The sequence below is a fragment of the Homo sapiens genome, chromosome 1 (assembly GCF_000001405.40).
Source record: "Homo sapiens chromosome 1, GRCh38.p14 Primary Assembly".
NCBI lineage: Eukaryota > Metazoa > Chordata > Mammalia > Primates > Hominidae > Homo > Homo sapiens.
Window position 1 is genome coordinate 9,588,507 of NC_000001.11, and position 13,467 is coordinate 9,601,973.

At 60.3% G+C, this 13,467-nt stretch overlaps 1 protein-coding gene across 9 annotated transcripts in view, besides 9 other annotated features; it reads left to right on the plus strand.

Moving 5' to 3' along the window:
* Positions 1-410: a silencer, noted in NCBI's record as "silent region_223". NCBI's record gives its function as "represses an Ori minimal core promoter by ATAC-STARR-seq in GM12878 lymphoblastoid cells {active_cell/tissue: GM12878}" and the evidence as "EXISTENCE:reporter gene assay evidence [ECO:0000049][PMID:35858748]".
* TMEM201 (transmembrane protein 201) overlaps positions 405-13,467 on the plus strand; it is a 25,967-nt gene continuing 12,904 nt past the window's right edge. For 7 of the 9 annotated variants that reach the window (XM_017000549.2, NM_001130924.3, XM_017000550.2 and 4 more), the window contains exons 1-5: positions 405-537; positions 7,384-7,504; positions 8,353-8,547; positions 9,943-10,119; positions 12,599-12,948. In XM_017000549.2, coding sequence (XP_016856038.1) covers positions 425-537; positions 7,384-7,504; positions 8,353-8,547; positions 9,943-10,119; positions 12,599-12,948 — 956 coding nt within the window. In that variant the 5' untranslated portion in view covers positions 405-424. The other 2 variants (XM_017000552.3, XM_017000551.3) reach the window with 2 other exon arrangements.
* Positions 421-620: a silencer, noted in NCBI's record as "silent region_224". NCBI's record gives its function as "represses an Ori minimal core promoter by ATAC-STARR-seq in GM12878 lymphoblastoid cells {active_cell/tissue: GM12878}" and the evidence as "EXISTENCE:reporter gene assay evidence [ECO:0000049][PMID:35858748]".
* Positions 781-850: a silencer, noted in NCBI's record as "silent region_225". NCBI's record gives its function as "represses an Ori minimal core promoter by ATAC-STARR-seq in GM12878 lymphoblastoid cells {active_cell/tissue: GM12878}" and the evidence as "EXISTENCE:reporter gene assay evidence [ECO:0000049][PMID:35858748]".
* Positions 4,905-5,502: an enhancer, noted in NCBI's record as "H3K27ac-H3K4me1 hESC enhancer chr1:9653469-9654066 (GRCh37/hg19 assembly coordinates)". NCBI's record gives its function as "activates a minimal SCP1, AML or CMV promoter by ChIP-STARR-seq in naive and primed H9 embryonic stem cells {active_cell/tissue: H9 hESC(naive and primed)}" and the evidence as "EXISTENCE:reporter gene assay evidence [ECO:0000049][PMID:30033119]".
* Positions 4,905-6,099: a biological region, named in NCBI's record as "hESC enhancers GRCh37_chr1:9653469-9654066 and GRCh37_chr1:9654067-9654663".
* Positions 5,405-5,699: an enhancer, noted in NCBI's record as "tiled region #8288; HepG2 Activating non-DNase unmatched - State 14:Gen5'". NCBI's record gives its function as "activates a minimal TATA promoter and a strong SV40 promoter by Sharpr-MPRA in HepG2 cells {active_cell/tissue: HepG2}" and the evidence as "EXISTENCE:reporter gene assay evidence [ECO:0000049][PMID:27701403]".
* Positions 5,405-5,699: a silencer, noted in NCBI's record as "tiled region #8288; K562 Repressive non-DNase unmatched - State 14:Gen5'". NCBI's record gives its function as "weakly represses a minimal TATA promoter and a strong SV40 promoter by Sharpr-MPRA in K562 cells {active_cell/tissue: K562}" and the evidence as "EXISTENCE:reporter gene assay evidence [ECO:0000049][PMID:27701403]".
* Positions 5,503-6,099: an enhancer, noted in NCBI's record as "H3K4me1 hESC enhancer chr1:9654067-9654663 (GRCh37/hg19 assembly coordinates)". NCBI's record gives its function as "activates a minimal SCP1, AML or CMV promoter by ChIP-STARR-seq in naive and primed H9 embryonic stem cells {active_cell/tissue: H9 hESC(naive and primed)}" and the evidence as "EXISTENCE:reporter gene assay evidence [ECO:0000049][PMID:30033119]".
* Positions 9,244-10,443: an enhancer, noted in NCBI's record as "CDK7 strongly-dependent group 2 enhancer chr1:9657808-9659007 (GRCh37/hg19 assembly coordinates)". NCBI's record gives its function as "activates an origin of replication core promoter dependent on BRD2, BRD4, P300/CBP, MED14 and CDK7 cofactors, with strong dependence on CDK7, by STARR-seq in HCT116 cells {active_cell/tissue: HCT116}" and the evidence as "EXISTENCE:reporter gene assay evidence [ECO:0000049][PMID:35650434]".

Genomic DNA, 13,467 nt, shown 5'->3' on the forward strand with positions numbered 1-13,467 from the left:
GGACTGTCTGCAGCCAGACCTCCGGGCCTGGCGGCTGGCGCGGGAGGCAGAAGGCGGGGCTTTCCTACAGGGCTCCGTGCCCCGCCCTCCCCGCGCCGCCTTCCACCTCCGGCCGCGCGGGGGCGCTCCCCGGCCGGCTCTGTCGCTTCCGCCGCCGCCCCGCCCACCCGGGCTCACCCCTCGTCCCGATTGGCTGCGCGACGGGAGCGCGCCGAGTCAGGGGGCGGGCCCGCGCCCGCTACAAAGCGGCGAAGGTCACGGCGCGAGGAGGCGCGCGTCGCCGCCCCGCGTCCCGCCTGCGGCCCGCGCCCCCGGCGTCACCGCCTCCTGCCCGCCTGCCCGCCTGCCCGCCTGCCCGCCTACCCGCCTACCCGCCTACCCGCCTACCCCCCTGCCGGCCTGCCGTCCTTCCACGCGGAGAGCCATGGAGGGAGTGAGCGCGCTGCTGGCCCGCTGCCCCACGGCCGGCCTGGCCGGCGGCCTGGGGGTCACGGCGTGCGCCGCGGCCGGCGTGTTGCTCTACCGGATCGCGCGGAGGTGAGTGCATGGTTCGGCCCCACGCGGCCCTCTGCGCCGCCCGCCAGGCCCGCCCCCGCGCCGCCCCGGCCCGCTGCCCCCCTCGGCCGGGACCCGGGCTGCCCGCGGGCGCGCGGAGACCCCCGGCGCGCGCCGCCGCCCCCCGAGACCGGGTTGAGACTGCAGTCGGGAAGCGGCTGCGGAGTCGAGTGGAGCGGCGGGGACTCCGGGAACGTGGGGCGCGGGCGAGAGCGCCGCGCGGGGGCCACAAACTTCCTCCGGGAGCCGCGGGGGGCTGGAGCCGGTGCGCACGGGCCGCCCCTGCCCTCAGCCCCGTGCTGGGCCCCGGTGCACGGCGATGCTGGCGATCGCGGCTGGCGGTTGCTGCTCGGCATGTGACGTCCCGGGCGTTTTTCTACACGCCTCGCATCCGCGCGTTTCAGAGCCACAGCCCCTGCTTACGCTAGAGCAGCTGAGGGACAGGGAGGCTCAGTAACTTGCTGTTAATGAGAGGAATCATGGTTTGAGCCGATGGAATCTGCAGGGCAGACCCCGAGGCTGGGCTGCCTCCCAGAGGTGGGCAAGGCCTGAGATGCCTCCAAACAGTTCAAGACGGGCCGGGGCCACCCTCCTCCCTGCCCGGCTCACGGGCCATGCGGGCCCCCGGGTTCAGATCCGGCCTCTTTCATCGGCCTCCATCGCCAGGCATAAAAGCTTAGTGGCCTGTTGCTTCAGCAGAGCCTCGCAGGTAGCTTACTGTTTCTCCACTTGATCCACCTTTCCAGAGGGCAGGGGGGAAAGTGGGGTTGTGAGAACATCCTAGAAAGAGTGGATGGGTTTGCAGCTTCGGCAAGGGATGCAATGAGCTCACACCCTTAGGAAAAAGGGGAGAAGGGACTTGCCCACTCAGCAGCAAGTGGCAGAGCTGGGGTTTGAACCCTGATCGTCTGGCTGGTCTGTTTGTTCTTCCTTAACACATACCGGTGCTGCTTCTCTCCTCCAGGGGGGAAACGGGGAAAAAGAAGTACAGGTGGTTGAGTCACAGAGGCTTCCCAGAGGAGGAAGGCATGGGAGGGACATCAGCTGTGTCTGGAGGATGGGCCAGATGTGACTGAGGAGGGTAGCTGGGGATTGAGTGACCCCAGCCCAGAGGTCCCTGACAACCCAAGTCTCTCCATGTCGGTTTCTGCTGGATTCCTGGAAGTTGAGCATCTGCAGGACCAGCTTGTCCAAGCCGGTGGTTTTATACCCAGGGGACCGAGGTCCAGAGACCTCAGGTGATTTGCTCACATTCCCAGAGCATGTTGCCAGCTGAGCTGGTCCAGCACCCGGTGTTCTTCCTGGACGAAGCCGCCTCTCAGCTAACCCAGGATGGGGGGTGTTGCCTCAAGGATGAGAGCCTGGGGGAGGGGATAGTCTGCCAGCCACACAGCACCTCCGTTGTGTTTATTGAGGCTGGACTTGGACTGGGTGGCTCACTGTGCCACACACTGCAGCTGTCCTCAGGGATGCTGTCTCCCCTTCCTGCCCTGCTGGCCACAGCTCTCCATCTCCTGGAAACAAGAGTCTGGGGCCTTGGAGAGATATTGGGCTAGCTGGTGCCAGGGGAACTAGGAGGGTGCCTGGAAGTCCTTTCACGCCCCTGACGACACCAGCAGGTCACGGTGTGGCATTGAGACCCTTGCTGTTGATTGGGCCGAGAAGGGCCAGCCTTTCCCAGGATGCTTTAAGATGTCCTCATAGAGCACTGGGTTTCACCTGGAGGTCATAAATTGGCCACTGTCACGATTCAGAAGCCAGACCAACCTAGCAAGAGGTTGAGCCTTCCTCCGAGGAGGAGAGTGCTGTGACAGTGAGGAACCAAGCATTGACTCTGGCTGCAGTGTAGGTTTTGAATGACCCTCGGGAGGGCATGTAAGGAGAGCTGTTTTTGGAAGGCGACTTGGCTGGGTGGGTGTTTGCAGGCTCAGCACAGAGATGGACAGAGAGGAAGATGTAGAGGGAGTGGGCAGGTCAGCCCCACCTTGTGCTTTAGGACTGGCTGAGGCGCATGGGAAGGAGGCTGCTTCTCTGAAGGACTGAGTCCTCCCACAGCCTCAGTCAGGGCCCGCCCTGGCTTCCCCACGCATGGAGTCCTCTCGCTTCCATGGTTGTTACTGATGGGAGCAGCTGATGGCTGTAAGCACAGCACACTGTCTCCTCATGAAACTGCCAGGGCGGGCTCTACTGTTCTCCCATTTTACAGATGAGGAAACCAAAGCTTGGGGAGGTTGGGCTACCTGCCCCACATCACCCGGCTGTTAAATGGCAGGGCCCTGCCTCGCACCAGAACTTCAGCTTGTCAGCCCAGCTTCAACCTCTGGGTGCTCATGGAGCCCCTTGGCTGCTTCTCTGCACCTATGGGAAGCCACCACGGTCGGCACAGTTGGGGGGCAGATGCCCCAGTTTCACTTCCCTGTGTCCAGGCCGTCGTGAAGTCTGTGGCTTCCTAGGCCTCCCTGTCCCCTGGACGCTGCTGCTCGGGTGCCTGTCCTCAGCCCTCTTCAAACGATGCCCAGGATCCGTGCTCTGCCAGCACATCCCTGCACACACCACCGCCCCGCCTCCGGGGCTTTGTTGGTGTTTACTGGGATTGTCTCCTTTCTAGTGTTTGGGGACAAAGAGGATGCAGCCTCCCAGAGGATATGCAGCAGAGCCTCATTCTGGAAGTCAGAGTCCCCTGTAACGGCCCTTCCCGTTTCCAGGCTCCCCCCTCCCACTCACTCTCCTGCTGCTGCGCACTCTCCCTGAGCAACCGCCGCACCCCGGGCATACGTTGGGTGGTCCCCTCCCTCTGCCGTCTGCCCTGCTGGTGAGCACAGCTGTGCTTCAGGGCGACCGCAGATGCCCCGCTTATTGGCCTCTGTCCTGTGGTATCTGTCACCAGCTGCCCTGGGAGGTCGTCGTTCTTGTCTTGCTCACGTTTGCATCTCTGCCAGCCTAGGGTGGTGCTTGCTTAACTGATGGGATGTTCCGCTCGCACCAGGAGCGACCCTAGAATGGTGGATTGGGGCGTTTTCCATCCTGATGTTGGAGTTGCTGCTGTGGATTCAAGTATGTTTTGCTTGGAGATGGGCTGGAGGCCCTGGCAGTGCTAAGTTCTGAGTTGCATTTTGATGCTTCTGTCGCTGAAGCCCAGGAGGCCTCTTCTCTGGTCCTTCTGGTTGAATGAAACACGGTGTTGCCCACTTAAGCGGGAAGTGCAGGTGAGGAGCTGCTTGGGAGGCTGGCCTCTGGCTCCCTGGCCCCTGAGGGAACCTGACTCTTACAGTCTTTCCAACCCCGCACTGGGGCCAGCACACAGTGTCCCAGGTCCTGAGCAATGTGCTAAGGCCCCTGTCTGAGGAGGTGATGATTTCCCAGGGCTGGGCAGAGACTCTGGGAGCTGGCCAGCCTGCTACAACCACTGAGCTCCCCAGGGCAGGGACCAAGCCCCATCCAGTGCCCCCTCTAGCAGGTTCCCCCTACCTGGTGCTTTCCTAGGCTGAGGACCCAGCGCTGGGCTCGCACCTAGAACAGAGCCCCTCCCACCTGCAGGGAATAGTGAGGCATCCCGCAGGAGCTTTGTTTCAATACATGTCCGTGCTCAGGGCTCTGGAGTGGTGTCATCATTAAGGACACGTGCCCGTCTTGTTTTCCCTCAGTGTGTATGTTGGGCTTGTGGACGGGGCAGGTACAGAGCATGCAGCTGCCCTAGCTTTTTCTTAGGGACCCATCTCCCTCCGGGCTTCCTCAGGCTTCCCAGGGGCTCGGCATCGAGCTAGCAGGAGCCGAGATAGTGGCCTCCAGGCCCTCGTGTCCACCCATCAAATGGGACCCATAGGGCCAGCTGCTGTCCCCCCAGAGCTGGAACCGTTGTGGGCAGGGGCAGCCCCTCCAGGCCCGAGCTCCTCTCTTGCTTGTGTTGCAGGGACATTCTGTCACGTTACCTCAAACCTTGCCCACCAACTGTGGTTTGTCCCAGAGTCAAGTTAAGGACGGAGGTTGTTGGCTTGCAGAAGAGAAGTGGGCTGAGGGGTTTATCAGGGAAACTTGGGGGCTTCTCCCAGAGCAAAAACAGGGTCCAGCCTAGGCTGGCTCAGAAGAGATTGACCCAGATGCTGCCTCAACAGGCCGGGCAGAGGCAAGCATAGGCTAGGGGCCAGGACTTCCCCCACCTGCGTGGGGACCTCGTCCGAGCTGTGGACAGTGTTTCACATGTGGTCATGTGTCTGACGCCGCCGTGCTGGTGCCTGGGGGACCTGCAATTCATGCCCAGCTCCCCATCGACCCCTGGCCTACCTGCCTCTTGGGACCTTTCAGGGCTCACCCCCAAAGGCACTGTGGGAGAGGACCCCCTGGCAGGTAGGGCCCGCCTGGCCAAAGTGGGTGGCAGCTGCTCTGGCCACCAGAGAGCCCACCCCCAACTCTAGCAGGGATTACCCAGGGCTGAGAGTGACAGGAGTTAGAGCTGCTGGCCCCAGGGACAAGGGCTAATCCCTTGCCTCCCCCCTCTTCCGGGCCGCCTCATTCTAGATCAGTGGAGCCATTTCCCTAGCAACAGAGCAGGAGATTCAGAATGGAAACATGACTTCCTGGGGTGGGCGGGGCTTCATGGCAGGCACCCTGGACAGAAGCCACAGCCCCTGCTCAGCTGTCATTGGTCCCCTAGGCAGGCTCAAGGGTTGACCTTCCTTTTCAAACAGGGTAAGAGAGCTGAGGGGCCTTCCGTGGGGATAGGAAGCCTGTCACCCAAAGTCAGTTGGGTGCAGAGCCTTGTCCGGCTCAGGGGTGGGGGGTCACACAAGCAGGTCTTCACCCATCAGGACACGCCCCCATGCACAGTTACAAAGAAGCCTGTACAACAGCTAGTAATTAGCACAGGGAAGTCCACGTGCTTAGTTGCCCGGGAGTGCTAGATGCGGGCACCGCAGCAGAGCAGGTCTCCACATGCCCCAGAGCGAGTCTCCTTCCCTGGCTGTTCATGTAGTCGGCGCCCGGTGGCGCTGTCCTAATGCCGAGCACTGAGCGCCTCCCTGCATTCTCCTGTAGGATCCTCACAGTGGCCTCTCCTGGGGCAGGGATGCTCAGCAGCCCCTTTTGACAGGTGAGGGATGAGACTGCGGCCCTAGAAGGCAGAGCTGCTCTCCAAGGCCATGCCTGTTGCCATACTGCCTGCCCAGCTGGCTGGCTCCGTTTCGTCGCTGGTCTGCAGGCCTTGCCCGCTGTCTCCATGCTGTTGACAAGATGCAGCGGTCCTTGTCCTCTGTGAGGGCTTGGGCCTGTGCTGGGGCAGGGGGTGTGGGGTGAGAAGGGTGTGGGCCGAGGCTGCTGGGGGAGATCCCAGCTGCCCCTGTGGGCCCTGGGCCTTCCCCGCAGGGCCTGGTCCCATCTCCCCTTCTCTCCCAAGCCTCCCCCCACTCCATGTAACTTGGCTTTTTTGCGTACATACTCTAGGCCAGTCACTGTTAAGTGCGTCCCACGAGCAGTCCCTTGTGAGGGAGGTGCTTTTGTCCCCAGCTGACAGGTGATCACACATCTCCCTTCATATGCCCCTGGTCAGGAGAAGGGGGTGGAGGGGAGGGCCGGGCAGCAGCAGTAGTGTCAGAAGCGGGAGCCCTGCTTCCCAGGGCCCAGCCTCCCCCTCAGGCCCCTGGCCAGCCCGATGGGTTAGCGACAGAGCTGGCTCTTTGCAGAGCACAGCACCTTTCTGTCTTGTGTCACTGCGTCCTTGCAGCATGCAGAAGCCGGGGGTGCTGTGGTTGCCCCCACTTCACAGATGTGGACACTGAGGCTGAGAGTACAGGAACTTCCTGGGGCTCCGTCCTCCTTTCTCTGAGCAGCGCCTCAGGATGAAAGGCCAGAGGGCCGTGCTCTCTGGTCCTGTGGACGGGGGGCCGTCTGTGCAGGGAGTGGCTGCCCACTCTGGCAGGGGCTCAAGCGGTGTCCTCGAGCTGGAGGTGGCCCCTGGGGGAGAGGTGGAGAGTCGGAGCAGCAAAGCCGGGGCCCCAGGGCTCCCACAGCTGCTGCCTGTCACCCACATTGTTCCTGGATTTCCGGAACTGGGGGGCTTTTTTGGGCAGTGGCGGTCTCTCTGCCCACCCCTCCCCAGTCCCCCAGTGTCCCACAACCAATGAGGTGGGTAGAGGGGGGCCCAGAGCATAGATCCCCCAGTGTCTGGGCTGGGATTATCCCGAGGCCCCACCTGTCACCACACGTGTAGCCAGCGAGGGCCACTGTCCTCTCCACCAGAGAGGGTTGGCCCCAGGCTGGGCAGCTGTCACTTGCTCCCTCCCCTCAGCCTCCTTGGCTCTCACATCCTGGGACTGTCTCTCTCTGGAGCACAGGAGGCCCCTTTCAATCTGGAGGCTCCCTGGGGCGCACCCTTTCTGCAGCCCAGGATCAAGGACCTCGTGGGGGAGGGGTGGTCCTCGAACCTGGTCCCAGTCAGCCCTGGTTTGGCCAGCCCTGGCCCCTGTTGTGCTCCATGTGTGAGCCCCAGGCCACCAGGAGCAGGTGGCCCTGGGTCCCCGTGCGGCCGCACTGGAGCCTAGGGATCTGCTGAGGCTCCAGCTGGCCTCCTCCCCTTGAAGACTGAGAAGCCCAGGTTGGCCGTGGCCTCCCTGTCTGGTCCTGGGTGGATGCAGCCGTACCTAGTCTGCGTTCCTCTCCTTCAGAGCCCTTGTTCCTCCTGCTGTTCTGGGGCCAGCATCTCCAGCTTTGCATCCCCAGATCCCAGATCCCACTCCCAGCACCCTTTCCCTGGTGGCCCTGGGGCAGGGCATGGAGGTCCCTCTCCAGCAGGTGCTGGGGTCTTCCAGGCCAACCCGCTCTTTCCTTGGTCCACAGGATGAAGCCAACGCACACGATGGTCAACTGCTGGTTCTGCAACCAGGATACGCTGGTGCCCTATGGGAACCGCAACTGCTGGGACTGTCCCCACTGCGAGCAGTACAACGGCTTCCAGGAGGTGTGGGTCACAGGCAGGCGGACGGGTGGGCACGCGGGGGTGGGGATCTTGAGATTTGCACCTTGAGACCACCCTGTGTCCCTGCCCTGCCCCGGGGCTCATGGACCCCACACCCTCATACCCTGTCCTCTCCAGGCCCTGAGCATGGTGTTTCGTGTACATTGTCTCACTCGATTCTCACCACTGCCCTGGCGCTGTCTCCTCACTTGAGGAGGAACCCGACGCAGGGAGCCATGGCAGTTTGTCCAAGGTTACACCACTAAAAGTGGCAGATTTGGGGTTCACACCCAGGTCTTTCTGGCTCTGCATCTCATTCTCTGTACTATATCAGGGCTAGCAAACCTTTTCTGCAAAGGGCCAGATAGTATTTTAAGCTTTGGAAGCCATTTGGTCTCTGTCACAACTGCTAACCCTGCTGAGCCACCGTAGGTAATACAAGAGTGAATTAGCCTGGCTGTGTTCCAATAAAACTTGATTGCAGAAACAGGCAGCTCCTCCACGGGTCATAGTGTGCTGTCCCCTGGACTAGACCAGGGTTTGCAGACTGAGTTCCGAGAGGGTAGGGCTCTGAGGACAGATGCTGGCTAGAGGTGTGTGGGTGGGCGGCGGGCTGCAGGCCCTGCTCTGTGCTCAGGCTAGGTGGCTTCACTCGGCATCTGGGCCTTTGGGTTCCATGGAGGTGTCTTGAGAAGAAAAGCAGCTGCTGTTGTGTGCAGAAGAAAAAAAAGAATGGAGATGTTTGAGATCTACCATCACTTGCCTGGAGCGGGGCGGGCCCCCAGGGACATCACCAAGCCTGAGCCAGCTGGGAGGGCCTGCCTGCCTCGAGTCCCACCTCTCTCCCGCAGAACGGCGACTACAACAAGCCGATCCCCGCCCAGTACTTGGAGCACCTGAACCACGTGGTGAGCAGCGCGCCCAGCCTGCGCGACCCTTCGCAGCCGCAGCAGTGGGTGAGCAGCCAAGTCCTGCTGTGCAAGAGGTGCAACCACCACCAGACCACCAAGATCAAGCAGCTGGCCGCCTTCGCTCCCCGCGAGGAGGTGAGGCCGGGTTGGGAGGGCAGGGGTCCTGGCTGGGGCCAGGGATGCTTAGAGCAGCCGGGGGACAGGCACGTGCAGGGTGCTGACTCTGGTCCTCTGGCCCCTGCTCTGCTAGACAGCGGCTTTTCTGTTCTGAGTGCCCAAAGGGGCCCCCTCATCCTTGCCACTGCCAGCACATTCCAGGATGTGTTAGTTCTTCTGACCCCGTTGGAGCTGAGCTGCTTCTCCCCATGTCTTACAGTCACTGCTATCGGGGTTCCAAGCCTAGGAACACCGTGGAAACCCCAGCACCTGCCAGTCCAGAGGAATTTGTCCCTGGGCAGAGGGAGGAAGGGACCTTGGGTTCCAGGTGGGGCCCTGTTGGACCCACTCTGTCCTGTTTCTCTGAATCAGCCTTGCCTGCTGGTGGCCCCGGCAGTCTGCTGTGGGGTTGGTGGAGGATGCCACTGGCTTCTGGGAGGAGGAGGAAGCTAGACATTGCTGAGAGGCTTGGCATTAAGGAGCTGGGCTGAGCTGGGAGCCTCACCTTGCCTGTGCCCTCCATGGAGTCCAAGAGCCTTGCTTACTGGCTGCTCCTTCCTGCCCTCGGCCAGCCCAGGGAGTCCTGTCACCTCAAGAGGCAGGTCCCAGCTGGGGCCCAGAGACACTGGCTTTCCTGGGGTCCAGCCTGGGAGGGAGGGAGAACAGAGGTGAACTCAGGCCAAGGCAGGGATGGGGAACCTGCGAGAAGGGGAAGGCAGGGGTGACTTGGCAGCCAGGCAGCTTTTCGGCATGCTTGGTCGCAGCAAGGGATCACACTCCTGACCCTCCTGGCCTTGCAGGCCAAAACGTTTGCTTCCTCAGAAACAGGGAGGGAGAGTTGCAGTGCTGCACGTCTAAGGGCTGAGAAGGAGGGGACTTGTCTTCTGGGCTATTTCAGAAGCTGAAAGAAACCTTCACCTGCCACAAAGACAGGCCTGGCCAGGGGCTCTCTAGCATTCAAGCGGAAGGGCAAGCGCCACAGTCGGGGTTGTCCATCTGCCCCACTCCAGGCAGTGTCAGCCCGCAGCCACCTTCCCCCATGTTCACCCACCTTCTTGGAGCTCTGCATCTGGGGAGCAGACCCTGAGCTCCTGGCCTGCGGGTGCGTCCCTGGAGCAACAGAACCTTGTTAGTGTCCCCATCACTTGTGGGCCCTGCCCTGGATTGGCTCTAACTCCCGGTAGTCCACATGGCTCTACACAGTGGGCATTTGTCCTGTTGGGCAGAGGGGAAGCAGGTTCAAAGTGGGGTTGACTTGCCCCCGGTCATCCCCTAGTAAGTGGCAGGTCAGGATCTGATTCCACGTCTGACCTGTAAGATGGAGGCAGCTCATCCACCCCTGCAGATGCCGAGCCTGTTCCCCCAACCCCACAGGGCAGGTATGACGAGGAGGTCGAGGTGTACCGGCATCACCTGGAGCAGATGTACAAGCTGTGCCGGCCGTGCCAAGCGGCTGTGGAGTACTACATCAAGCACCAGAACCGCCAGCTGCGCGCCCTGTTGCTCAGCCACCAGTTCAAGCGCCGGGAGGCCGACCAGACCCACGCACAGGTGAGAGGCGGCATCCACAGGGCGGGGGTGGGGGTGTTGAGTTTGTTCAGGAAACCCTCCCAGGAGGCTGGGCACTAGTGACCAGAGGGTAGCTCTTCAGAGCTGAGCCCCTTTATTTTTATTTTATTTTATTTTATTTTTGAGATAAAGTTTTGCTGGGATTACAGGCACACGCCACCACGCCTGGCTAATTTTGTATTTTTGGTAGAAACGGGGTTTCTCCGTGTTGTTCAGGCTGGTCTCGAACTCCCGATCTCTGGTGATCCGCCTGCCTTGGCCTCCCAAAGTTCTGGGATTACAGATGTGAGCCACTGCACCCGTCCTTTTTTTTTTTTAAACAGAGTCTTGCTCTGTCACCCAGGCTGGAGTGCAGTGGCACGATCTCGGCTCACTATAACCTTGCCTCCCAGGTTCAAGCGATTCTCCCGTCTCAGCCTCCCGAGTAGCTGGGATTACAGGCACCCGCCATCATGCCCAGTTAATTTTTATATTTTTGTAGAGGTGGGGTTTCACCATGTTGGCCAGACTTGTCTTGAACTCCTGACCTCAGGTGATCCTCCCACTTTGGCCTCCCAAAGTGCTGGGATTACAGGCGTGAGCCACCATGCCTAGCCTTTTATTTATTTTTAAATTTTATTTTTTGAGACAGTTTCACACTGTCGCCCAGGCTGGAGTGAAGTGGCGCGATCTCGGCTCACTGCAATCTCTTCCTCCCGGGTTCAAGCAATTTTCCTGCCTCAGCCTCCTGAGTAGCTGGGATTACAGGCACGCATCACCACAGCCGACTAATATTTATATTTTAGTAGAGACGAGGTTTCACCCTGTTGCTCAGGCTGGTCTTGAACTCTTGAACTCCTGACATCAAATGATCCACCCGCCTTGGCCTCCCAAAGTGCTGGGATTACAGGCCTGAGCCACCGCACCCGGCCTCCAAATAACTGTTTCCATCATTTTGTGAAGTTCTCACCAAAAATTCCTATTGTGAGGTTTTTTTGTTTGTTTTGTTTTGTTTTTTGAGACGGAGTCTCGCTCTGTCGCCCAGACTGGAGTGCAGTGGCGTGATCTCGGCTCACTGCAAGCTCCGCCTCCCGGGTTCACGCAATTCTCCTGCCTCAGCCTCCCAAGTAGCTGGGACTACAGGCACCTGGCTAATTTTTTGTATTTTTAGTAGAGACGGGTTTTCACCGTGGTCTCAATCTCCTGAGCTCGTGATCCGCCCGCCTCAGCCTCCCAAAGTGCTGACATTACAGGCGTGAGCCACTGCGCCCGGCCCCTATTGTGATTTTAATTGGAGCTGACATAAATGGACAGATAACTGTGGCAAAAGTTAACCTTAAAAGTACAGTAGTAAGTTATTCAGACCAGGAACAAGGCAGACAGAATGAGAACCAAAGGCCCCAGGAGAGGGTCCACCTGGTGCCTTGCTGTGCAGACGTGTGGCAGGGCAGAGGTAGCACGGCTGTGTCCCAGCTGCAGACTGGAAACCACATATCAATCAGACCCAGGTCACATCTAGAGACACAAAGGGGTGGATAGGAGTTTCCTTGTAGGGGTAGATTTTACTACTTAACCTCCTTGCTACCATACCAGATTTTTTAAACAACCAGAATATTCTATCAACTGAGTACTATGATAAAAATTAGTTTTAGCCAGATGGTCTTGGGCTCAAACCCTGGAGCCACTGCATACCAGATGTGGGCTTTCTACGTGGCCCTGTGCAAGTTTCTCAGCTTCCCTGAGTGTGGTTTCCACAGCTGTAAATGGGTCCAGGGCTTAGGAGTGCACCACCAAGGCTGCTAGGAGGACGAATGCAAGTGCCAGGAAAGTGCTGAGAAACAGGAGGGCCACCCCTAAAACCCATGCTCAGATACGCACATAATAAACGCGTGGTGATACCAGTCACTCTCCCGGGACACCCACCCTGGATGACATGAAGGGGCCTGGGGAGCAGGGTAGGGAGGTGGCCCCATGGGCATGTTGCTTCCCCAGAGTAAAGGAAGGGGCTCAACTTGGCTGGGCGCGGTGGCTCACACCTGTAATCCCAGCACTTTGGGAGGCCGAGGCTGGTGGATCACCTGTGGTCAGGAGTTCAAGACCAGCCTGGCCAACATGGTAAAACCCCATCTCTACAAAAAAAATACAAAATTAGCTGAGTGTGGTGGTGGGCGCCTGTAATCCCAGCTGCTGCGGAGACTGGGGCAGGAGAATCGCTTAAACCCAGGAGGAAGAGGTTGCAGTGAGCCAAAATAAGGTCACTACAATATGGAAAGTCTTCTTTAAAAGGAGAGGGTGGTAGAGCAGCACTCCTCCCCGCCCAGAAGTGAGGCGGGCCGGTGGAACTGAGTGGTGAGTTTTTGAACCAAGCCCAGGATGTGTGAGAACATGGGTCTGGCCAGAACCCCGCACAGACTGGCACCGGTGATGGCTGGGGGTGGCTCTGTGGCCGTCTCACTAACCCGCCTCTCTTCCTCCTTTGCAGAACTTCTCCTCCGCCGTGAAGTCCCCGGTCCAGGTCATCCTGCTCCGTGCCCTCGCCTTCCTGGCCTGCGCCTTCCTACTGACCACCGCGCTGTATGGGGCCAGCGGACACTTCGCCCCAGGCACCACTGTGCCCCTGGCCCTGCCACCTGGTGGCAATGGCTCAGCCACACCTGACAATGGCACCACCCCTGGGGCCGAGGGCTGGCGGCAGTTGCTGGGCCTACTCCCCGAGCACATGGCGGAGAAGCTGTGTGAGGCCTGGGCCTTTGGGCAGAGCCACCAGACGGGCGTCGTGGCACTGGGCCTACTCACCTGCCTGCTGGCAATGCTGCTGGCTGGCCGCATCAGGTGTGCATGGGGCCAGGGCCAGGAGTTGGCGGGCAGGGGACTGTGTGCTGGATTACTGTCTAGGGCGGGGGCCAAGAGACCCCATTGGGTGCACAGCCCTAGGCTGAACTCCACCATGTCACTGGTACAAGGCTTGGTCCCAGGGGCTGGGAGTCGTAGGTGAGGTGAGGCTGCAGACGCCCTCTGAGCCAGCCCCGTGCACACCCGCTGTGGGCTGGGCCGGGTTGCCTCCTCTCTCCTCCTCGGGCTCTGTCAAATCAGGATGACGATAACCACCTGCCTCCTGGGTTGTGGGGGCTCACGTGGGGGCCTCTGGGGTTCCCTGAGTGGGAGCATGTCCTGTGAGTGCTGTGTCCCCGTCGCCCCTGCTCACCGACTCGGAGGAATTTTCCTTAGCCCTGTTTTAGGCTAGAACTTACAGGCTGAGGAGAAACACTGACCCACCTGCTCAGAGCCAGGTAGCGTGTGAGTGTGAGGGGATTCCGAGCCCACACTGTCCCCTGGCTCTGGACTCTTCTG